Source organism: Homo sapiens, chromosome 6 (genome assembly GCF_000001405.40).
Source record: "Homo sapiens chromosome 6, GRCh38.p14 Primary Assembly".
Taxonomy (NCBI): Eukaryota; Metazoa; Chordata; class Mammalia; order Primates; family Hominidae; genus Homo; species Homo sapiens.
Genome location: NC_000006.12, coordinates 168,485,891 through 168,510,370, shown reverse-complemented (window position 1 = coordinate 168,510,370; position 24,480 = coordinate 168,485,891). Strand labels below are relative to the sequence as shown.

Below are 24,480 nucleotides of genomic sequence, written 5' to 3'. Positions count from 1 at the left end.
ATTGAGAATAATTTTAGAAGACTTTGGGGAAAAAAACTGAAATATTTGGATAAATTTCTTTCATGGTGGAATAAGGCATTCTAAGAAAAGAATATTAGACAAGTAAAAAAAGACTGCTCTTAAAATTCATAGAAATTACTCTTCTTCCTTACATGCTGTAAAAAAAGAGCCAACATAAACCCGAGTTTGTAAATGTAAAAAGTTATCAAGTATGAAAATATGTTTGCATTCATTTTGATGATGGATGTACCCATCTTTGGATGAATGATCAAACAGCAGCTTACCTTTGCAGTTTCCTCGATATGCAATCTCTAGCTGGGGATCTTTGCACTTGGCACGTTGAAATTCACAACGGGAAAGGAAGGTCCTTCCGTCAGATGCGCAGAGAGGTTTCTGGGGCGAACCCGCACAGTCCAAGCTACAATCCTTGTCTTTATCTTGATCCACTCTCAAAAACTTAAAGGAGAAAAAAAGAAGCCAGACAAATTTAAAGACACATTCTTCAGAGCAGCAGAAAACAGAAGGCTGCCTCAGGCCACTTCACGGTCAGGGAATGAAAGCTTGAGGGATAACACCACCCGGTTCTCACCCCTGCCAGAAGCGCCACGTGCACCTCTGAACATTTTAGCCATCATCTGTTTCAAAAGCCTAGATAATTTGGAAGTTCTCTACATCAATATCGGCCGTCTGACACAGAACAACATGTGAATCATTGATCTTTGAAGGGGGTGCACGTGTGCCTAGTTCAACGCTTAAAGTCTGAGTAGCAATGTTTTCCTTTTGTGAATTCATTGACTAATTTGCCTCCACATTCATCGACTAATTTGCCTCCACATTCATCACATTGTACCATTCTTTTGGAAGTGACGAGTATCAGGAATGTCCACTATCTGGAAATGGGAGGGAATCCTTCCTGATTTAAATGGTGCCACACAATTTCATCTACATTCTCTGAAGGTAGGTGAAATCTACATTCAATTGGACTAGACTGCACTCAATTGGACTATTGTTCTTTGAATAAATGTTTGTTGAATGAATGAGTGACCTCATGGCCCAGAGGAAGCTTGTGTATTTCTCTGAAAATGCCTAAGGCACAGGAATCCTCTCCGCAGGCCATAGAAATCACCTAATGGCCATGTGTGCTCCGCAGTTCCCACGGTGGCCCCAGGCCCTTCATCTCCCTCCTGCTCTTTTACAGCTTGACACAGACTTCGGAGCTCACCGGACCCCAGGGAAGCCTCCGATCTGGGCGTGCTGGCCCCGTGTGTTTTCCTTGGACAAGTCACCAGTGTCCTGCCACTTCCTGACCGGCCAACTAGTCCCGTCCAGGCCTCCATCAGGCCAGACGAAACACCAGACACCAAGGTGAAGCTCAAGGTGACCCTGAGGAAGCGTCTGTGCTCCAGGACAAACAGGATTGTCAGAGGCCTTTGGTCCCCAGACTATCACCTGCCCCAAGGGGTATTCTCCTTGATTCAGAGCATAGACAATGCATTAACAAAAAGAAAGAAAGAAACGCGCAGAGCTGTGGCTGGCAGAGCATAGGCTATGGTAGTACGTGGCCCTCTGGACGTGGTGTGCACGTGAGCGGGGCTATGTGGCATTGTTCACCCAGGGACATTTGTGGAGATAAAGAGAGCACTGGTCCAATCCCTCTTCCAGTTTGAGCAGGGGGAAAATAGGGTTGAGGTTCAGCAGAAGCTGGGGGGCCCTCATCAACATGCTCCTTTACCAGTAAGAGAGGAAAAAGAAATTCACCAACTCAGGATGCTGCATTCCTTGAGAAGCTAATGAAACTTTCCACCTTGAAGTCTGCATCTCAGCTGGCTCTGTTTAAAGGCTAGCTTTGCCCAGCTAATCAGCATTGTACCCCTCTGTGGCTGCGGATCACCAGGTGGGTTGTGTCAGTGGAGCTAACTCGGCAAGGCTGGCTGTGGAAATTGCACTCACTTTTATATTATTGTCACATAGGGCTGTCAGCACCACTGTGGGTTAAGTCTCAGTTCTTTTAAAAAGGGCTGCTCTGCTATCTTGAAGATAAATCTTGACCCAAGTTTTGCAGGAACTACGGTGACCTTGATGGGCAGTGGAAGGAATCATAATCTGTGATTTTTTTAATGGAAATTTATCAACTTTAAATAATTTGCCCAATGTTACTCATACATTTTTTAAAATCTTCACGCCAATAAAAGAATTAAAAACAGAGATTAGCCAAAAGCCAAAGCTGGACTCAAAGCCAGGTAGGGCACACAAGATGCTGTAGGGGCCGGACGGCCCGTGGGGAGCCCCAGACCTCACCAGAAATCCAGGCGGGGTCCTCAGAGCTCCTGACCTGAGGACCGTGACAGTGGCAGGTGTGGCTAAGAACAGGTAAGCCTGTGTGTTTTGGAGCTCACAAAGCTACTTGGCAGTGGCCTTGCCCAGATGTGGGGATGAAGGCTGGAGCCAAGAGACAGGTGAGCGGCACCCAGAGGTGATGGGGCCTTTGCCATCTCAGAGTGAGCTATTTTTCACAATTGTTCCATTTCAAACAGCGTGCTCTAATTTTCCTGAGAATAAGCTCACCTGCTGAAATGATTCAGGTTTGTTTTAGCTAAGACGCAAGTGAAAACAGATCATTGCCTTTCAGGGTTTTGCAAATATGTATGCTTTCACTTAAAGAGGGCAGAGATGGCACATAAATACATTCTGTTGAATTCTGCCACAGATGAGTCTCAACCACATTTTTCATGTCACCAACACGCATTGACTGAGCTCTTCCAGCAGTGGGGGGCGCCCCGGGGGCAGGCAGCTCCTGGGAGACATGACCTTCGGGTGCTGTGCCATGGGAAGGTCCTCCACCCGCTGAGACGCTGCTTGGATCTTATAAAATGCTTCCGAGTCACAGGCGCCTCACAGGTACTTGAGGATCTCAGCAGCCTCGTTCTCGCAGCACACAGCTGGCTGGGGCAGCACAGCTTTGCACTGAGAAAGAGGGAAGAAAACAGAAAGAAAACATGAACCTGCAGTGTGTTCAGTAGGAGCCCCAGGTGCCTTCGTTTCAAACAGGGGCCGGCCCTATTAATAGCTTTCTCCTACTGTAGATGAAAAGATGGAATAACCTAAATCCTGTTAATTTTTATGTTTAAGAGGTGGTCTCTATGTATTTCCTGAAACCCTAAGTGAGGAGATGCTGAGAACTTAGGTAAGACGCTGTAATTATCATTTTCTCTAAAGGGAAAGAGACAGTCTCGACATTTTTTCTCAAATAAAAGCACCCAGCATCCAGGCATTTGGAATTTGACCATAATTCTTGATAATGTACTGGTGCGGAACTAACAATGGAAGTGTTATTTCTCAGGGATAAGAGAACATACAGGTTATGGACATGTTTCTCCCCTTCCTCCTGTTTAATAGCAATTAAATTTCACAGGAAGACAGTGCATGTAAGAAAATAAGCTTTTAACTAAGTTGTGCTCATTAATAAACAGCCCATTCAAGAAAAATAAATATTCCTATTGCAAAGAATTCACTATGTGTTAAAAGAACTCGGTTGAGAGTCTTAAAACTAATTCAAGATAAAAAGTACTTTGCTAAATGTAGAATGCAATGAACTGGACATCGAGTGACTTTATTAAAAAACCCCACAATTGCAGGGGGTTCTCATTTCTTTTGATTTCCACGAAGCAGTGCTATTTGCACAGGTGCGAGGAGCCCAGGTGTAAGGAAGTGGTGGGGGGGAGGGCACAGGAAGTGTCTTTGTGGACACCAAGTAGCTCACACATTAGAAAACCAGTCAGACAGACTCAATGGATCAAAGTCATGGTCTATGTTTCTTCTTAATAAATTACTGGGTTTGGGCCAGAAGAAAAAGATTAAAACAAAAACCGTTTACAAAACAGGTAAAAGCACTCTTCAAATCTTAACATGTTTAAAATTTCTCCTTATAATATTGATTAAATACGTCTCTGACTATATGAGATAACGTGACATAAGAAGACATTAAGGAAATGTTGCCTCTGAAATACATAATTCTTGTAGCTGTAAGATTTGCAAGGCCAGGTGCAGTGGCTCACACCTATAACCCCAGAGCTTTGGGAGGCCAAGATGGAAGGATCTGCTGAGGCCAGGAGTTTGAGACCAGCCTGGGCCACACAGTGAGACTCTGTCTCTATCAGGGGTGGGAGGAAATTAGCCAGGTATGGGGGTGTAACAAAATAAAGTGCACAATAAATGTGCACCTGTGGACCCAGCTACTTAGGAGGCTGAGGTGGGAGGCTCACTTGAGCCCGGGGAATGGGAGGTTGCAGTGAGCTATGACTACGCACCAGGGCACTTCAGCCTGGGCAAGTGAGACCTTGTCTCAAAAAAAAAAAAATTCTCAAAAGCACACACTTTCCAAATAATAGGCCAAGAGAAAATAGATGGCATCCACGTGTTTGCTTTCTTAGTGGGAGGTGCACACAGGAAGAAATGAGATTGAACAGAAGACAGGGCAGCACTGGCAATGAGGCCCAGTGCGTGAAGAGCCTGCACAATTCTGAAAGTCACTGGGGACAGGTGGGAGAGGGGCTACAGACTCAAGCCTGTTTAAAGAATCATTTCTCCATTTTAAAGCCTGGACTTCCTCAGATTTCAGAAAACAGGGTCCTACTCTTTTAGAACACAGAACCTAAATCTTCCAAGCAAATATGGAAATCCTGTTTCAGAGCCCGCAATACAAAACTTAAATGCTAAAGGAAAACATAACTTTCCACAGGACATTTTCTCCCAGAGACGGACATTTCATTCAGTCATTCATCCGGCATCTGAGAGACGGACATTCCATTCACTCATTCATCCAGCATCTGAGAGACGGACATTTCATTCAGTCATTCATCCGGCATCTGAGAGACGGACATTCCATTCACTCATTCATCCGGCATCTGAGAGATGGACATTTCATTCAGTCATTCATCCAGCATCTGAGAGATGGACATTTCATTCAGTCATTCATCCGGCATCTGAGATACAGACATTTCATTCAGTCATTCATCTGGCATCTGAGAGATGGACATTTCATTCAGTCATTCATCCAGCATCTGAGAGACGGACATTTCATTCAGTCATTCATCCAGCATCTGAGAGACGGACATTTCATTCACTCATTCATCTGGCATCTGAGAGATGGACATTTCATTCAGTCATTCATCCAGCATCTGAGAGACAGACATTTCATTCACTCATTCATCTGGCATCTGAGAGATGGACATTTCATTCAGTCATTCATCTGGCATCTGAGAGGCAGACATTTCATTCACTGATTCACCTGGCATCTGAGAGATGGACATTTCATTCAGTCATTCATCCGGTATCTGAGAGACGGACATTTCATTCACTCATTCATCTCGCATCTGATGGAAGTTAGCTGCACCACTTTATATGTATTTTAGAAACCCTTAACTTCAGTATTTTATTGTCTTCGACTTCTTGCTCCCAGTCTTTAAGAGTAAAGCCTCATGTTTCCAGTTAGCTCAAAAGTCAGACCCAGCTTAAACTGAATGTATTAAATAGTTATTAAGTGACCCCTCTCTGTAAAAGGCATTCTACCAGCCTCCAGGAGGATGGGATTTTGAAGAAGAGCCTGCCCTAGTGAAGCTGAAAATCCAGAGGGCAGAAATGTACATCCACAAATGACCACGCTGTATAAGGAAGAACACAGGTGCCTGAGTGGCTCAGAGGGAAGATCAGTCAAAGCTGATCTGGGGGGATATCTGCTGCTTCCTAAAAGATGACCTAAGGCAGAGGTCCCCAACCCTGTATTCATCTGTATTTACAGCTGCTCCTCATTGCTCATATTACCCTGAGCTCCACCTCCTGTCAGATCAGCAGCACCATTAGATTCTCACAGCAGTGTGAACCCTATTGTGAACTGCGCATCTGAGGGGTCTAGGTTGCGGGTTCCTTATGAGAATCTAATGCCTGATGATCTCTCACTGTCTCCCTTCTCCCCAAGATGGGACCATCTAGTTGCCAGAAAACAAGCTCAGGGCTCCCACTGATTTTACACTATGGCGAGTTGCACATTATCTCATTATATATTACAATGTAATGATAGAAATAAAGTGCGCAATAAATGTAACATGCTTGAATCATCTGGAAACCATCCCCCACCCACCAGTTCATGGAAAAAATGTCAAACGTTCCTCATGCCGAAAAGGTTGGGGACCGCCCATCTAAGGAACCCAGAGGAGCTGGATGAGAAGCCATGTGAGCTGGCATCCCAGGGCAAATCCACAGACGTGGATGTGTCAAGGCCAGCAGTAGGAAGAAATCGGAAAGGATGCCACTGAAAGCAGGCCTCGTGTGTCATCGTGGTGGCCAGTGCCTCTCAAATCAATGTGCTGGCATCACTTGAGGACCTGAGGAGACCGGGGTTCAAACAGAAAACAAGGAGGTGCTGGGCTCCTCCCTCCGGCAGAGGATTCTGGGGAGTGTGCTGTCCTCAACATGACACAGATGAGGCCAACGAGCCAACTCTGCACAGGATCTCACCAATTTTGTGGTGCGTTTTTTTGATCCTCCCTGATGCACTAGACTGAGTCACAGATGCTCAGTTTGGGGGCATTAACATTGGGCTCTGGCCACCACAGCCTCTGCGGGACACTGAGCCGGCATCATGTTCCTAGCACAAATGGGTGGTGCCGCTGGGCTCTGCACCAACAGGGGAGAGTTAATGCTGGTTCTGCATTTTTCCACCCGTGCAATCTCTGACACTCAATTTGCTAATCTGTAAAATGAGAGTAATAATACCTTGTCACCTTTGAGGTAGCTGTGAGGATAAAATAACGAGCTCTTTCATATGTGGACGAGTACCATGAAGAAAACCACCATGCGGGGAGGGCATTTGCTTCCCAGCCTCAGCACAGCCCTGCTGACGGAGGTGCCTCACAGGAGCACAGAGACTCACCAGGAGGAGCTCACTGTGGAGACGTGACGTAAGTGCTCTCTGCTCATTTAGAAAACAAGCAAGGTGGCCAGGCATGGTGGCTCACACCTGTAATCCCAGCACTTTGGGAGGCCGAGGCAGGCAAATCACCTGAGGTCAGGAGTTCGAGACCAGCCTGGCCAACATGCTGAAACCCCGTCTCTACTAAAAATACCAAAATTAGCTGGGCATGGTGGTGGGTGCCTGTAATCCATCCACATGGAAGGCTGAGGCAGGAGAATCACTTGAGCCCAGGAGGCGGAGGTTGCAGTGAGCAGAGATTGCGCCACTGCACTCCAGCCTTGGCAACAAGAGTGAAATTTTGTCTCAAAAAAAAAAAAAAAAAAAAAAAAAAAAAAGGCCAGGCACGGCGGCTCACACCTGTAATTCCAGCACTTTGGGAGGCCAAGGCAGGCAGATCACAAGGTCAGGAGATCAAGACCATCCTGGCTAACACAGTGAAACCCTACCTCTACTAAAAATACAAAAAATTAGCCAGGCGTGGTGACACACACCTATAATCCCAGCTACTCAGGAGGCTGAGGCAGGATAATCGCTTAAACCCAGGAGGTGGAGGTTGCAGTGAGCCAAGATTGTGCCACTGCACTCCAGCCTGGGCGACAGAGCAAGACTCTGTCTCAAAATAACATAAATTAAATTAAATTAAATTAAATTAAATTAAATTAAAATAAAATAAAAAAGTAAGTGAGGCATGAATCAGAGACACTGGTCGTCAGCTTTTCAAAGGCAGCTTGTCTTAGTAAGTTTAAGAGTCTGAGTGAAATAACTCAGTGAGTTAGGAAAGTGGTGATAATGTAGGTCCCATCGGCATTCCTGACCCCCTTTTGCCTTTTTGTTCTATTTACTGGGTATCCATAGGACCTTAAAACCAAGAGCAAACAATTGAATGAGATGAATTTGTTTTAATCTGCATGACTAGATTACAGCCACAAACCCAATAAATACGCAGAAGGTGGCTGTGGGCAGATGCAGGGCATGGAGGGCCATCGGGCTGGCAAGGCTCTGTGGTCAAAGGGAACATGCTGACCTTGGCGATGGCAGAAGAGCAAAGTGACCAGGGACGTGTATGGAGCCATGTGAGAGCTGATTTCTTCACTTGTCCAATGGAGGTGATAACAAGGATTCCTGTTTCATAAAGATGATCGTGAAAACAAAATGTGATAGTGCACGAGAAAGTGTTTGGAAAAGATATGAAGATGTTATTTGCAAGAAGCCCTTGGAGCAGAGGTCCTGCTTATCTACCATTTAAATGAATATAGGGTATGTTTGCCATTTCAACTCTACTGTGTGAGCACTAAGGGATCCTCTTGCTGGTGATCATTTTCAAAGAGAAAATGAGAAGTGTGCAGTAAAAAGGGAGCTAAATTAGAAGTTCAAGAAGAGAGAGCAGGTTTCTTCAGGAAGCCTGGGAAAGATGGAGGCAGATGCAGGAAAGAGGGCAGGGGCTCAGCCCTGCACAGAGCTGCCAGAGTGAGGTATCTGCAGCCAGCGGGAAGACCCAAGGGATGTGCAGGAGGATGTGGCCAGGGCGAGGCAGCCCCTCTCAGGACCAAACGCCTGGAGACGCTCCCACCTTCTGTGGGGAATCAAGACGGACCTCTCAGGATGCACACACAACCAAGCAAGGCTGAACCCCAGCCACCCCTGGGTGACGCTGTTGGGTACGGAGATCCCAGAGGAAAGCAGGAGCCCTGAGGCCGTGGTTGTTTCTCTGTTTGCCACACTGCCTTTATTGTTTTTTAGTGGACCTGGAACTTTTTATAAGTGCATTTACCAATGCTTTACTGGCTTTTGGTCCCCTGAGCCAGGATTTCCTAGAGCTCTTGGTTCCATCTTCCCCCCACCTCACATTCTGCAGAATGGGCTTCAGGTTCCTGGCCCCATAGCGAGGGACAGATGATGCAGGTTCCTGGCCCCGTGGCGAGGGAGGGACGATGCAGGTTCCTGGCCCCATAGCGAGGGATGGACAATGCAGGTTCCTGGCACCGCAGCAAGGGACGGATGGTGCTTTATTGTACTTTTTGCTCTGCAACTCTCTTCTCCTTTTCCAAAACATTTATTTTGTGTTTATTTTCCTTCCCTGTCTCCACATCCATGTTAATTTCAATGATGAAAATGGATGTTTTTCCTCCCTGTTAGTAATTTTTGAGATAATTTAAGAAATCTCTCAGGTTATTCATTGTTCCAATCCAGTTTTATTTGAGATTCAGTAGAAGCTCTGTTATTCTAAAATTCTTCCTAATAAGATATGATGAGGATGGTGTTACATTAATGCAATAATTATCTCTGGCAATGACAACGAAAGATTATCCTTAGCATCCGGCCACGATTCTTAGGGGTCAGAAGTGTTTAGAGGCACAAGGTAGATTGTACAAGTCCCCTATGAAATACTGTAACACAGCTGAACTTCCCCCTCTCATAAGCAATGCCCACTCTGTCGGAGAGTCTTGTCATGCTTTTGGTCACTTAAAAGTGTTCCGGGGGTTCATGCAGCCTCAGGCACCATCCTTATTGCTTTAGCTACAAAAGTGCTTCTTATCCAGGGTCCCAGTGAGAATCGAGATGCCCCTGGATGAGTGTGAAGCACTCGTGTGCGTCCTCGGCGGCCACTGTGAAGCAGTACCCTTGTAGACACGGAATGCATGGGCATGGACTCTAAGCCCAGTGCTCCTGAGCCCATGGACGGTACCTCCTCGGGGGGTAGAGAAGCTTGTGCACCCACATGGCCTTGGAGTCCAGCAGTGTCTGGCCAGAGCTGCAGCTCAGTGAAGAGTGTTGTCTTCAGAGCCACATTCGCGTAGCCACCCGGGGTCCCTACAGAATCACCGGGGCAAGTAGCAGGGCCGAGAGAAGGTGTTGGAGAAAATGAGTGCAAGAACACGGGGCATGACCACGCGGAGACCCTAGAACACCTCCGTGAGGGACCCCGTCAGGTTCCACGCGTGAATGCTGTCCTTCCACCCGAGTCAACAGGAGACCCGCCAACACCAAGTACAAAACACCTCCAGCATTCAGAGTTCCCTCTCCTCCTACTTCAGTCTCCCCTTCTCTTGCTCAACCCTCTTCGGATGTCATCTCTTTTTTCTTTTTTCTTCTTCTTTTTTTTTTTTTTTTTTTGAGACAGAGTTTCACTCTGTCATCCGGGCTGGAGTGCAGTGGGGCGATCTGGGCTCGCTGCAACCTCTGCCTCCTGGGTTCAAGTGATTCTCCTGTCTCAGCCTCCCGAGTTGCTGTGGGACCACAGGGGCCACCATGCCCAGCTAATTTTTGTATTTTGGGATGTTGCCCAGGCTGGCCTCGAACTCCTGAGCTCAGGTGATCCACTTGCCTTGGCATCCCAAAGTGCTGGGATTACAGGCATGAGCCACTGCACCCGGCATGGACTTCATCTCTGTTAGCCTCTTTCCCTGCTCACAGCTTGAACACTGAGCACCCGGGCCAGGCATTGTTCTAAACACTTTACTGCATTAGTACCTTTAACCTAACAATCTTCTGCATTAAATGCTATCATTAGTCCAATTGTGCGGAGAAGAACATGGAAACAGAGTGATTAATTAACTCACTCCTTCCTGATTGCACTGCTGGTCAGCGTGGGACCCCAGGGCCAATCTGCTCCACAGTCCCCTATTGGTTCTGGTTAAAAAAATGAAATGTGTAGCTCCTCACGGGCTCCCAGTGGAAAATTACAGGATGACTGGATATAAAGTAGTAGTTTCCAATTGACATAAAAGTATACGCACTGGAAATACATAAACTTATTTCCTTCACACGTAGAAGACAATTAAAACTTTGGGAGGTAACACACAGTTGGAATTCTCTGCTGTAGGCATATAGGGAAAAACTGATCTGACTTCTAACCTGAAGGTTTGACTCTCATCACTGCCCCATCTGCCGCACACTTCATAGCTCATGTATAGCTCATCGGTCTCTGGGCTGCAACGCACAAAAGATCAGATAAACTCCGACCTTTACTGATAGCAAAAGCAAACATGCTACCTGGGGAGTGATTACCCAGTGACAAGATTACAGAGGTTAAATGAGAAGTATCTGAAAATAAAAGTACAAATCAACCATGAAAGTAAGTATGAAGCACACGTTGGACTGCGGTTCCCACATGCCCAACGGCACCTGGAATCGCAGTGGCTCTCAGCGGCAGCATGCAGCACCGTCTCCCGGGCAATGGACTCTCATCTCCACCCCCAGAGACTGGCTTGTAGGTCTGGGAGGACCCAGGGTTTCCATGTGTAGTAGACAGGCTATGGGCCCTGGCTGTCCCCCCAGAGACTGTGGCTCGTAGGGCTGGGAGGACCCAGGGTTTCCATGTGTAGTAGACAGGCTATGGGCCCTGGCTGTCCCCCCAGAGACTGTGGCTCGTAGGGCTGGGAGGACCCAGGGTTTCCATGTGCAGTAGACAGGCTATGGGCCCTGGCTGTCCCCCCAGAGACTGTGGCTCGTAGGGCTGGGAGGACCCAGGGTTTCCATGTGTAGTAAACAGGCTATGGGCCCTGGCTGTCCCCCCAGAGACTGTGGCTCGTAGGGCTGGGAGGACCCAGGGTTTCCATGTGTAGTAGACAGGCTATGGGCCCTGGCCATCCCCCCAGAGACTCTGACTCGTAGGGCTGGGAGGACCCAGGGTTTCCATGTGCAGTAGACAGGCTATGGGCCCTGGCCATCCCCCCAGAGACTCTGACTCGTAGGGCTGGGAGGACCCAGGGTTTCCATGTGTAGTAGACAGGCTATGGGCCCTGGCCGTCCTCATGCAACACAGTCACATGTTGCGGCTCTCTCACCACTCAGCCTGCAGCAGGAAGGGCGATCAGAAAAGAGCGGCTCCCCTACCATTCCAGGGACACAGACAACCCCAATGACCTGACCTCTTTTACTGAAGAAGTAGCTCTGTTTTTATTACAGTATATAATTCACAAATTCGCTGATAGCCTCGACATTTTCTGGCACAGCTAAACTACCCGCCGGACAGCCACTCTTTCCCTCTCTGTCCTTAGGGTTCCCTGGAATAGCGAATGCGTTTGCTGATGAAGTGACATTTTCAAAGGCATTCAGCCAGAGTTTCTTTTCTGAGGCTCTTGCTCATTTCAAAGCATTTAGAGCAAATTACACTAAAATACATGTTACAGAATATGAGAGTAACCTGGAAAGCCAGGGAAATGCATCCAAACGCCAAGATACCAGATAATTTGTTTCTTAGCCAAACCTCAGTGGAGACTGTGTTATTCGGTGAAATCATTTCCACTGAGAGGCATAACTGAAGGATTTAAAATAGGAAACAGAAAGGCAGATCCTTGCTGGAAACAATATGTCCGAGAGGCAGCTCCACAGATCACCTGTCTCCCACTCATGCTGGTGAAGAGAAACGGCTCCCCTGTATGGGCAGCGGCTGTGCAGTCCCGTGAGTTAAAAGTACGACAAAATGGCCCAGCGGTAAAGGTCAGGGGCCTCTGATCTCTGCATAAAGTCCAGGCAGCCTCCAGCCCTGTGTCTCCATCTAAAGGCAGTGAGACTTCATTTTATTCTAAATGTCACCTATAGCCCTTCAGCACCCCCCATCATCACAGTTCTGACTGTGTCCATTTATTTTGCTTTGTGGGGGGCAAAACGTGGTTGTAAGGAGACCTCAAAACTAAGAATGCTTAGCTGCCAATGCAGGGCGATGATTGAATAACCCGAAAACCGAGTTTGTCTCTCACTTCATCTGAGCCAGGTTTTCCTGACAAGACCACGGGCTCCTAACGGGGATTGGTCCCATGAATGTCCAGAGAACGGTACGTTCCGGGGGCAGGCCTCTTGCTCCCACTCAGGACTCCTAGGAACCTGCTTCCCCCGTCACTGAGGGATCTGCGTGCCCACTGCCCGGGTAGGCAGGAGGGTCCCTGGAGGAGAGAGGGCACTCAAGAAGACCCCCACCTCCATCCGCATTCACCACCACATGCCGCGGAGGCCACAGATACCTATGAAAGGAAGGGCGAATTCTTTTCTCTGTAATAAAAAGAGCTGGATCCCCTTTGCCCACGCCTGGGGGCAGGTGCAGAGGCCGTCCCTTTGGGAAGGGATGTTGTCAGGGCTGGAGGCTAAACGGAGCTGCTCACAGGGTCACCCAGGAACACACGAAGATGCCAGCCCAGGCACCTCATTTGACCACGCACAGCTGAGGCTCCCAGTGACCACCGGGCTCCTCTGCGAGGGAAGGAGAACCCAGTCATGGGCTTGGGGCCCGGGCCCTGCCCTCCGTTCCAACCAGGGCCCTTAACCACAGGGCCAGGGCTGGGCCTTCTTTCCCCAGGACGGCAGCCCCAGGGCTCTCGCATAGCTTTACACTCACAGGCTTTGAGAGGAAGGGGCGGGCCTGGGCCACAGAGCCCCCTCTAGCCCTCTGCTCAGCCTTCCCCATGCTTGCCGGGGGCCGCATCTTCCCCTCGCCTGGAGGAGAGGCGGTGGGGGCTCCGGTCAGGCTCCTGTTCCCCTCTCACCTTGGGTCACGCATTAAAACAGATTCTTTGAATTTTCGACAGCCTTTGTTTACACTATGCGATAGCCCAGACATGGAATCCTTCCAAGAGAATTCTCCCCACAGTCCTCTGAAATGGAACAACTGAAAAGCCATCACACCCCACTCAGAAGGGTCCCCACGCTGAGGTGCACAGTGCAATCTTGGAGATGGGCAGGGAAGGGCTCGGGAGGCCCCAGGGTGGGGGCCCTCACCGCTGCCTCCTGCAGTCCTTCACCTGACACCTCTCAGGCCGCAGCCCCGTCCAGGTGCCGGCCAAGGAAGAAACCTCTCAGAAGAAAGGACCTCTCGGGACAGAACTCGAGGGCTGGGGCGACAGGCGATTGGTCCCGTCTGCAACTCCACCATCACCCCCGAGCATGGGTAGGCTTCCCCCAGGCTTGGACAGTCCAACACACAAACCATTAGCCACATGAATCTATTCACGTTTAAATTAACTAAAATGAAGTAAAATCTGAAGACAGTCGCTCATTTGCTATGTGTTGAGTCCTCATGGCCTCCTGTGCTAGTGGCTGCTGTCTGGGACAAGGCAGCTCATAAATCATTTCCATCACTGCAGACAGCTCTTCCAGACAGTGTTATCTAGAAACAGGGATTGCAGGGCAAGCACTCCCCACCCTGCCTTCCCAAACCCCAGTGTTTTCCACAAAATGCCCAAGAAACAAACAGTTGCAACAAGATGAGTACCGAAAAGCTTCCAGGCTCTGTGACCAATCGAACAAATCCTAAATGCCAAGCAGAGTAACTTAAGAACAGTGTCTTGAAATTCACACTTTTAATTACAGAGAGAATAGAAACACCTTAATTACAGGAGGATGAGAAGCTTGGAGACTTTTGTGGAGGGAGTACAGAGGATTTTGAGGGACTTCAAAGGTATTTTAGACATTAAAAGAAAAGAGCGAGGAGGCGAGAGGAAATGCATGCAGGGCACCCATAGGCTTTGAGGCCTGAGCTCCCAGCTCGGCCCGGCCCTGACCGCTCATCGGTGAGGAGGCCAAGGAGGGCAGGGCGGGCCGTGTGGGTGGGTGAACCGTGCAGGTGGGTGAAGCCACCATGGGGAACTGCACAGGTGGGTGGAGCCCCCAGGTGAACCCTGCAGGTGGGTGAGGCTGCCAGGGAACCGCGCAGGTGAGTGAAGCCATGAGCTAGCAGAGCCCTGTGACCCGGGTCACGCCTGTGTCCTGTGGCCAAAGGGGGCAGGCAGTGTGGGAGTGGCAGACGCAGGCCTGAGGTGTTTGCGAAGCGCTGCTCCCCAGGAGGAGTCACCTGGGCTTTCTTTAAAGTTTCACCAAACGCTTCCCGGGCATTGCGAACTTCAGGGCTGCCACCACAGCAAACACACACTCATTTATCGTTCGGGAGGTGCTCACAGCATCCCACATCTACGATCTGTACTTTATAGAAAAATTAAATGTGACAAAGAGATAGAATTAAAAACTCAGGTTCCCAAGGAAAATGTTGGAGCTCTGGAAGCGACCCCAGCGGTGGGCACCGGGAGCCGCGGACAAGGTCACCCTGGCTGGCGTCAGCCAGTGGCTGAGAGAGGAAGTGAAGAAGATCCACCTGCCACGGTGGGCTTTCCACAGGGCCTCAGTTAGAGGGGGGTGGACCCGCAGAGGGACCTACACCTGGGCCACAAGGAGCCTTTCCCTTGGCCGGAGGTCCCTCCTTTGTGACTCACTCAGAGCAAGACAAAGCCTGGTCTGCAGGAGCCCACATAGGGCGCAGGAGCATGGCTTTCCTGGAACCACTCTGAGCCAGGAGGTGTCTGTGTCCTGAGCCCACCCTGTTTTGCTCTTACCTTAGACCCTCTGAGAAGGGTCATGGTGTGAGCAGGTTCCCTGCGGGTTTCAGGAAGGTGCCAGAGGCGGGGCCTGGAGGATGCAGGCATGAGGGAAGGGGCAAGGCCGAGCGAGGTGAGCACACCCCGGCCCAAGGGAGGTTCCCTATTCCCCAGGAACTGCAGGCAGAGGGAGGCCTCAGCCAGGATGGTCCATCCCAGCCCTCCCAGGCCCAGTGCACTTAGACAAGGCTGTGATTCCATCCCAGCAGCTGGGAGCGAAGTGGTGCCCGCCCTTCCCAGCCACCTCCCTTGCCCTTCAGCTGCTGGGATGGGGCTGCTCCAGCCGAGGGTTCACTCTCACTCCCAGCCCTTTGGGAAAGAATCGCAAAACCCCAGTATGAGGAGAGGTGCATTTCTCCATTCACGTCTCCTCCAAGTCTTAGGCTTACCAGGAAATCAGTGGCACTCTAAGCAGCGTAAGTCAAAGGGCACTGCCCACTCATTTTCAACGTGCTTAGGAAGTGATCCCCTATCTTGTTGGCTGTGAAAATGCATAGAAGAAAATGTTTGCTGTGTGTGTTCATTTATCCAAAAAGATTCTGATGGGCACTTTAGCCCTAGTAAAGTGTTTCGGCTAAAGCCAAGAAGAAGTCTATCTAGGTGTTAAATTCAGAAAAAGAGGAGAAGGAAGAAGAGAGGCAAAGTATTCACTCTTTTCATGTATTTACTGGTTGGGTGCGCATTAGGTGCGTGTCTGCTGAAACCTAAGGAGACCAGCTTATCACATGCCTGCCCTACCACTGAACTACCTGAGCCCAGACCAAAACTTTGCCATGTCCTAAAGAACGCTTGCACTCACAGTGTGTAGAAGGAAAGCTGCTCTTAGCTTTGCCATGTCATGAAGAATGCTTGCACTCAGAGCGTGTAGAAGGAAAACTGCTCTTAGTAACATCTGGAATAACCATCTAATACACTTGCCAAGATTCAGACCAATATGCCTGGAATAATGTCAAACCAAGAAAACAATGAGGTTTATGATGGAAACAGAGAAAAGACTTCAGGATCGTTCCAATGGCATCGGAATGATCCCACACTCATAATATTTTAAGGTTACCAAATGCACTTATGAAAGGTGGCTACCACATAGAATCTAATTTTGTTTTTTGAAGAACAACTCCTCTGGAAGTTATTCTTGGCAGACACTGAATAGCAAGAACCAATTAAAATAGAAAAGATAAAGACAGTTAAAAACTAATATGTCTGATGAAATAAATATTCAGATGAAATTTATTTTCTTGGCTGTCATTTAACTAAGAAAAGAAAAACTAGGACTTATACACTTTTTTGAAAAATAAAATCATGTCCGCAATGTCAACTTGTTTGTCAAAAGCTAATTTTAACTACCTAGGATTTAATATCCCTAAAATGTTGATATTAATATATCAAATTAATATAATTTTAAGTTGCAATACTATTAGACAGCCAGATCTTATCACAGTGGTTTCCATTCTGAAGATATCTTGGCCTTTGTACTTTGAACATCATTTTCTGAACAGTAACAGTTTTCCTTCGCTTCTGGAAACTTGTCACTTACTTTGCCATCCATACATCATTCACAAAACATTTGCCTTCATCATCATGCAAAGCTACAGAAGATCTTGTACAAAGTAAGATTATGAAGGGAAAGGAATTAAGTTTTTAACAAATCCATACTTATGCAGATAAATGTTCAAGTCAGTTCTTTAACTAAATCACTTTTGAGGCCAGGTGTGGTGGCTCACACCTGTAATCCCAGCACTTTGGGAGGCCGAGGCAGGTGGATCTCCTGAGATCAGGAGTTCGAGACCAGCCTGACCAATATGGTGGAACCTCGTCTCTACTAAAAGTACAAAAATTAGGCAGGCGTAGTGGCGTGTACCTGTAGTCCCAGCTACTCAGGATACTAAGACAGGAGAATTGCCTGAACCCAGGAGGCAGAGGATGCAGTGAGCTGAGATCCTGCCACTGCACTCCAGCATGGATGACAGAGTAAGACTCTGTCTCAAAAAAAAAAAATCACTTTTGAGCATATCTAAACATTCCAACAATTTAGTCTTCATTCAAATTTGTGAACTCTTCCTTTGAAGCTACCTTCACAATGTATGGAGAGCTCAAGGAAAGTCAGCCTTACGACGTCATGCAGTGATGCTGAAACAGATTCCATTCGATCCTAACAAACCTACAACACAAGGAAGAGAAGGCACATTTCTGTACTCTATAGATGGCAATATTAAAGCCAGAGAAATGCAATGTCTTGCTCAGAGTGACAAATTATTTTGTGGTGGTGGGAGAGCGTCAGGACAGGTATGTGCCTCTGGTCACCATCCACATTTTGTCCTGTGAGACAGTGCTCTCTCTAAAATGTCATCAACCTCGTAGGTCACGTCATCTTGAGACTGAAAGAAAAGTTGATTTAGAGAAACCTACCTCACACTGCAATACTTTTTATTTAATCATGTGGTAATAACTATGAAATTCGTAACAGATGCTTGTGTGTATATTTTCTGCCACACTTTTTCACCCTTATCACTGGACTGAGTTGTTGGTTTTGAGTGACACCTGTAAGAGTGACTTTGTGAAGTTGAGATTGGTCAGATTTGATCAACCCATTGTTGTGCGAATTTGCCCCTTGGCCTAGGGCTAGCAGGCTGAGAGGTGGTAGAGCTTCCTTTATGTTTGCATAGTTCTTGCTTTGAAAATAGAAGGTGAACTGAAAACTATGGAAAGGTAGGTGGGTGTCTTGTGGATTAAAAATGAGCATCATGCATGTGTGTGTGTGCCTCGTATCTTGGAGAGGATGGGGCCAGCCAACGGTATTCTCATGTGCTTGGCAAATTGAAACTTCCATTTTAAATACAACTGACTTTTCTCATTTAGATAGGTAAGTCCTATATTTTTCCTTTCAAGAGAAATATTCCCTTCAGATACAACCTGTAATTTCTCTTCCATGAATAAAAAATTGGGGAGACATTATTTTGTTTAATTAAGTGCATTAGTAATGCCAGATGCAGACCAGTAAGACTGAGCCATGTTCAAAGAAATTCAGAATTAGGAGACTTCCTTCTAAAGTGAGAAAATGAAATGTATCAAAAAGAAGAATGCGGGAGAATGTGTGGGTGGCTCGAAAATGGTTAAAAATAATATTTCGATGTAGTTAGCGATACCTGCACTTATTCCAGAGAGAAGTTAAGATGATGAACAGCACAGTTCACTCTCCATGGGGTTTATCATTTCTGCAGTTAAGGTTCCCGCTTAATTTTAACTTATAATACGGCCAACAAGCAATCTCTTTAAAAATAACAAAATAAAATCACAATTAAGTCAACTCAATGGCTCTTCTGTATCTGTGTCTGACAAGAGTAGACACATTCCCACAGCTCATGCAGATACTTTAAATAGAGTATCAAATTAATGTTTTGGTTTAAATTTTTATTAAATAGTTTATTGTTATTATCAATAATGTTTTTGATCTTTACATACGCACAGGAAGCTCTGGCTGACTGGTGGGAGTTGCCCAGGAGGATCTTACAGCTGAATTGATCCCAAATACTTATTTTAAAAGATGCTCCATGGGTGACATCATCATGAGACCAAGCAGTCTTCACCTTCCAGCCGCCAGAAACTTCTCAGACTGCCATGAGGTCTTGGAGACCTCCTTTCCTAATTCTTCTCTTGACTCTCATCCCATGATTCGGATGTTATGGAAACTAACATCTTTGCATTATCTTAGCATCCAAAATTTCACCTGTGAGAGTTAACTTGTGATTTTAATAAAAATAAAGTTAATGTCCGTTCAGCATCATCTGTCTCTTGCATCCTCATAGTTCAAATTCTCCAGCTTCCACAAGACCAAGATCAAAAACACGGCATTACTCAGGAGCATGGAAGCAAGGCTGGCGTGAGCAGCATGTGCAATGATTTGCATGAGATGATGCAGAAATATTTCCTGCCATCAGGAATGACCTCTCCAGAGTCCTACAGGGTCACCTTTTAATGAGAGAGACCAGCCGCCCCCGCTGCCCCCTTGCACAAGATGATGCAGAAATATTTCCTGCCATCAGGAATGACCTCTCCAGAGTCCTACGGGGTCACCTTTTAATGAGTGAGACCAGCCGCCCCCGCTGCCCCCAGCTGCCCTGCCGTGTCTCAAGTCATGCATGGGCACACCTGGGCAGCAACAGAGGGCTCACCTCCACCTGCTGCCCCACTCAGTGCTGAGCGGGAATCCAAATCCCAAATGCAGCCTCAGCCCAGACTCAGCCACAGTAAGCGTGTGGTCAGAATGGAGGGATTTGAAGACAGGAGATGTCCCAATAGATGTCAAGGTTGTTCCAAGGAGCCCTGAGCCCTGGCATCATGGCAGGTGCACTGACCTGCTGTCTCTAAACACCCAAGGTGTCCACATGACATTTTAAAAATCTCAATTCTACCCCTCAATCCACTGATAAACCTAGGGGCTTGCAAGGAGCAATTTCTAAGATCCTATCAAGGCTAAATCCTGAAATCTCACTTGGCACACCACTTTGCTTCCGAGTTGCCACTGTGAACTTGAAGATGGGTGGGCGTGCAGGCCATCAAGGGGTGAGTGAGAGTCAGCTGCCCAGTGAAAGGTCCCCTCTGGAGCCCACCTGGTGTGACAATGCCTTGTATGCTGCGCGCCTTGACGAGACACAAGAAAATATCATGACCTTCAAAGAAAGAATGATGGCTGGAGTCTCTGTCTTCCTCCCCGATATATTTCATTCTAAAACAGTGTGATCCAAGGGGACCCAGACGATTTGATATATTTCATTCTAAAACAGTGTGATCCAAGGGGACCCAGACAATTCGATATATTTCACTCTAAAACTGTGATCCAAGGGGACCCAGACAATTTGATATATTTCACTCTAAAACTGTGATCCAAGGGGACCCAGACGATTTGATATATTTCACTCTAAAACTGTGATCCAAGGGGACCCAGACGATTTGATATATTTCATTCTAAAACAGTGTGATCCAAGGGGAACCAGATGATTCGACATATTTCCCTCTAAAACAGTGTGATCCAAGGGGACCCAGATGATTCGATATATTTCCCTCTAAAACAGTGTGATCCAAGAGGACCCAGATGATTCGATATATTTCACTCTAAAACAGTGTGATGCAAGGGGACCCAGACGATTCGATATATTTCACTCTAAAACTGTGATCCAAGAGGACCCAGATGATTCGATATATTTCACTCTAAAACAGTGTGATGCAAGGGGACCCAGATGATTCCATATATTTCACTCTAAAACAGTGTGATCCAAGAGGACCCAGACGATTTGATATATTTCATTCTAAAACAGTGTGATCCAAGGGGACCCAGACGATTTGATATATTTCATTCTAAAACAGTGTGATGCAAGGGGACCCAGACGATTTGATATATTTCATTCTAAAACAGTGTGATCCAAGGGGACCCAGACAATTTGATATATTTCATTCTAAAACAGTGTGATCCAAGGGGACCCAGACGATTTGATATATTTCATTCTAAAACAGTGTGATCCAAGGGGACCCAGACGATTTGATATATTTCATTCTAAAACAGTGTGATCCAAGGGGACCCAGACGATTCAATATATTTCACTCTAAAACTGTGATCCAAGAGGACCCAGACGATTCGATATATTTCACTCTAAAACAGTGTGATCCAAGGGGACCCAGATGATTTGATATATTTCACTCTAAAACAGTGTGATCCAAGGGGACCCAGATGATTCGATATATTTCCCTCTAAAACAGTGTGATCCAAGGGGACCCAGATGATTCGATATATTTCACTCTAAAACTGTGATCCAAGAGGACCCAGACGATTTGATATATTTCATTCTAAAACAGTGTGATGCAAGGGGACCCAGACGATTTGATATATTTCATTCTACAACAGTGTGATCCAAGGGGACCCAGACGATTTGATATATTTCACTCTAAAACAGTGTGATCCAAGGGGACCCAGATGATTCGATATATTTCCCTCTAAAACAGTGTGATCCAAGGGGACCCAGATGATTCATATATTTCACTCTAAAACTGTGATCCAAGAGGACCCAGACGATTCGATATATTTCACTCTAAAACAGTGTGATGCAAGGGGACCCAGACGATTTGATATATTTCATTCTAAAACAGTGTGATCCAAGGGGACCCAGACGATTTGATATATTTCATTCTAAAACAGTGTGATGCAAGGGGACCCAGATGATTCGATATATTTCCCTCTAAAACAGTGTGATCCAAGAGGACCCAGACGATTCGATATATTTCATTCTAAAACAGTGTGATCCAAGGGGACCCAGACGATTTGATATATTTCCTTCTAAAACTGTGTGATGCAAGGGGACCCAGATGACTCAATATATTCCACTCTAAAACAGTGTGATCCAAGGGGACCCAGACGATTCGATTGAGAACCTGGGTCCTGATCTCTGCCTCCTGCGAAAATGTTAGTTTTCTCTGCCTCCCACCCACAGTGCCCTGGCTTTCAGCAGATGGACGCACCCTGCAGACTGCCAGGAGTGGAGACAGGCCAGAAACAGGTGCTCTTCACAGCCCCAGGAGGAGCTGCCCTGTGACAGACTATCTCACACCTGCACCCTCCAGAACTGAGTGAGTTTCTGTCTGAGCCACCCAGTCTGGGTATGTTGTTACAGCAGTCCAGCAAACTCATGCAACTAGCACCCTCATAAGAAGAGAAAACAGACACAGATGGGCATAGATGGAAGAGAGGGAAGACAATGTGAAGACATGGGGGGAAGCGGCCATGGGAGCAGACAGCTGCATCTGCAAGCGGAGGAATGCCAAGGAGTGCCGGAGGCACCAGGGGCCAGAGGAGACCAGTGGGATTTTACCCAGAGTGCAGGCCTGCAATCACCCAGATTTTGGACTGCTGGCCTCCTGAACTGGGAAAGCATAAGTTTCTGCTGTTTCAAGCTACCCATTTGTGGTGCTGTGATAGGGCAGCCCCTAGAACGACTGCAGATGTATTGCCTTGCTCTATAACCGGAGAGAAAAGCAGTAAAATACTCCTCCTCAAATATTGCTCTCGAAATCACCATTACTAATAAACTATGCTGTCACATAAAATTCCCCAATCAGAATGATTGTAGCATTTTACTGCTTTACATATAGAATATACATGTAAATTGCCAAAAAAAATACTTAAAAGGGAACTACATCAACGTATAGATTGTGTGCCATGTATGTTTTTTAATCAAAAGGTAATTTTTGGCTAGGCACAGTGGCTCATGCCTGTAATCCCAGTACTTTGGGAGGCTGTGGAGGGTGGATCACCTGAAGTCAGGAGTTTGAGACCACCCTGGCCAACATGGTGAAGCCCCATCTCTACTAAAAACACAAAAATTAGCCAGGCATGGTGGGGTACCTGTAATCCTAGCTACTTGGGAGGCTGAGGCAGTAGAATCGCTTCAATCCAGGAGATGGAGGTTGCAGTGAGTCAAGATCGCACACTGCACTCCAGCACCTGGGCAACAGAGCAAGATCCGTCTCAAAAAAAGAAAAAAGGTAATTTTTAAATTAAGTCAATATTTAATTCTTTCCTACATACGATAATTTTCGGTGCATGAGATAGCTCAATAAATACTAAAATGCACCATATAGAAGCAATTCCCAAATACTGTTGGCACAGCATCTCTTATATTCTGAAATAAAGACTGCCTTGCCCATCACCCTGACGAGTAGTCAATCAAGTTGACTAATTCATAAGCCAAATATGAGTCGTTCCTGTCCACTGTGAGTTTATTTAAGTTGGAGCTTTCCCCATCCGCAGCTGAGATCAGAACACAGGGGAAAGTAGAATTTTAAGGGGCCCTGTGGAGGTGCAGCTTTGCCGGGGAAAAAGATTTGTCTGGAACCCAAGGTTTCCGAGCAACCAGCAACAAGAAGCAGGGGGACGTTTGAGTGCTGAGATGGCCACAGGGCAGAGGAGAGGCTGGGAGAGGAGCCCAAAGGCCAGCGAGGGCCATGTCACTTAATTCTCATGTTATCTGCAGTTCCCTGGCCAGACATCATTACACCAAAAGGTTGCAAAGGCCCTTCTAATGAGTGAGGGGACGGAGTATGTCTCTCTGCATGCTGCCCAGCCCTTGGCATAAGATAACTAATGCGTTGGTTTATGATTTTCTTCCAAGAAGTGACAAGCCTATGGAGGCTAAGCTCTTACCCTGGACTTCTACTTGGTAATGAAAAGTCAGAAGACATGGATTTGGATAGCAGAGAGTTGGAACTAAGAATATGTTTTGTTTTGTTTTGTTTTGTAAAATGCCGTTGAACCACAATAGAATGTGAACAAACAGAACAAGCCAGATAGGTTTTCATATCATCAGCCTCCAAAACAGTTACTGATCCATTGGTGAATCGCAGTCGGTTTGGATGCGCTCACAGCCAGTGCTGGCTTGGGGAAGGGAGGTCATCAGAGCCAACTCCAAAATTAATGTGATAAAGAACAGCGCTCTTCCATGTAAGAATACGCCAAATCAAACTTCCCATCTCTGCTGCATGGCTTATTACAAATTTTGGGGAAGAAGTAGCAAAGAGAAGACATGGTGCAGTCCTTTCATGATTTTATTTCTTTTTTCTCTCTTGAGTTCAATTGCACAAGGGAATGTGTGGGTCCTTTGCAAATGTTGGAGTGCAAAGCTTCTGTGAAGCAGTGTAGAGTGTGTAGAGAAGGAAATGATGTGAGTATTCAATCTACAAGGCTGTTGGATGGATAAAGTGCTGCCTTGAGAATTTAGACATCTAGCATTTTCTTTTCCAGTTCTGCCACTAGACTTTGTATTCAGTGATTTGGGGAACAATATTATATATCTATGCAACTCCTTTACTTACTCATATTTGTTCAGCTGACTTAAGTGAGCCAGAAACCATGCTGAACCAGGGACACTAAGACAAACAGTCCCCACAGTAAGAAGTAGAGAAGATAAATTATTATGATACCATACACAGGAACCGTACGAACGGTACACAACGATGCAAAAGAGAAGCAGCAGAGGAAGGAATTGCATAACCCTTGCCCCTATTTCTCACCATTTTCTGTGACTCAGTTAAATATTTGCAGTTGCTCGTAACATTACAAAATAAATCTATTAGACAGAATACTTTTGAATTTGATGAAGTCAT

At 46.7% G+C, this 24,480-nt stretch overlaps 1 protein-coding gene across 4 annotated transcripts in view, besides 1 other annotated feature; it reads right to left on the bottom strand.

Moving 5' to 3' along the window:
* Window positions 1–24,480, bottom strand: part of SMOC2 (SPARC related modular calcium binding 2) — a 226,809-nt gene that overhangs the window by 157,622 nt on the left and 44,707 nt on the right. For all 4 annotated transcript variants that reach the window (NM_022138.3, XM_011536066.2, NM_001166412.2 and 1 more), the window contains exon 2: window positions 285–456. In NM_022138.3, coding sequence (NP_071421.1) covers window positions 285–456 — 172 coding nt within the window. The remainder of the gene's footprint in view (window positions 1–284; window positions 457–24,480) is intronic.
* Window positions 12,716–13,434: an enhancer, noted in NCBI's record as "H3K4me1 hESC enhancer chr6:168897617-168898335 (GRCh37/hg19 assembly coordinates)". NCBI's record gives its function as "activates a minimal SCP1, AML or CMV promoter by ChIP-STARR-seq in naive H9 embryonic stem cells {active_cell/tissue: H9 hESC(naive)}" and the evidence as "EXISTENCE:reporter gene assay evidence [ECO:0000049][PMID:30033119]".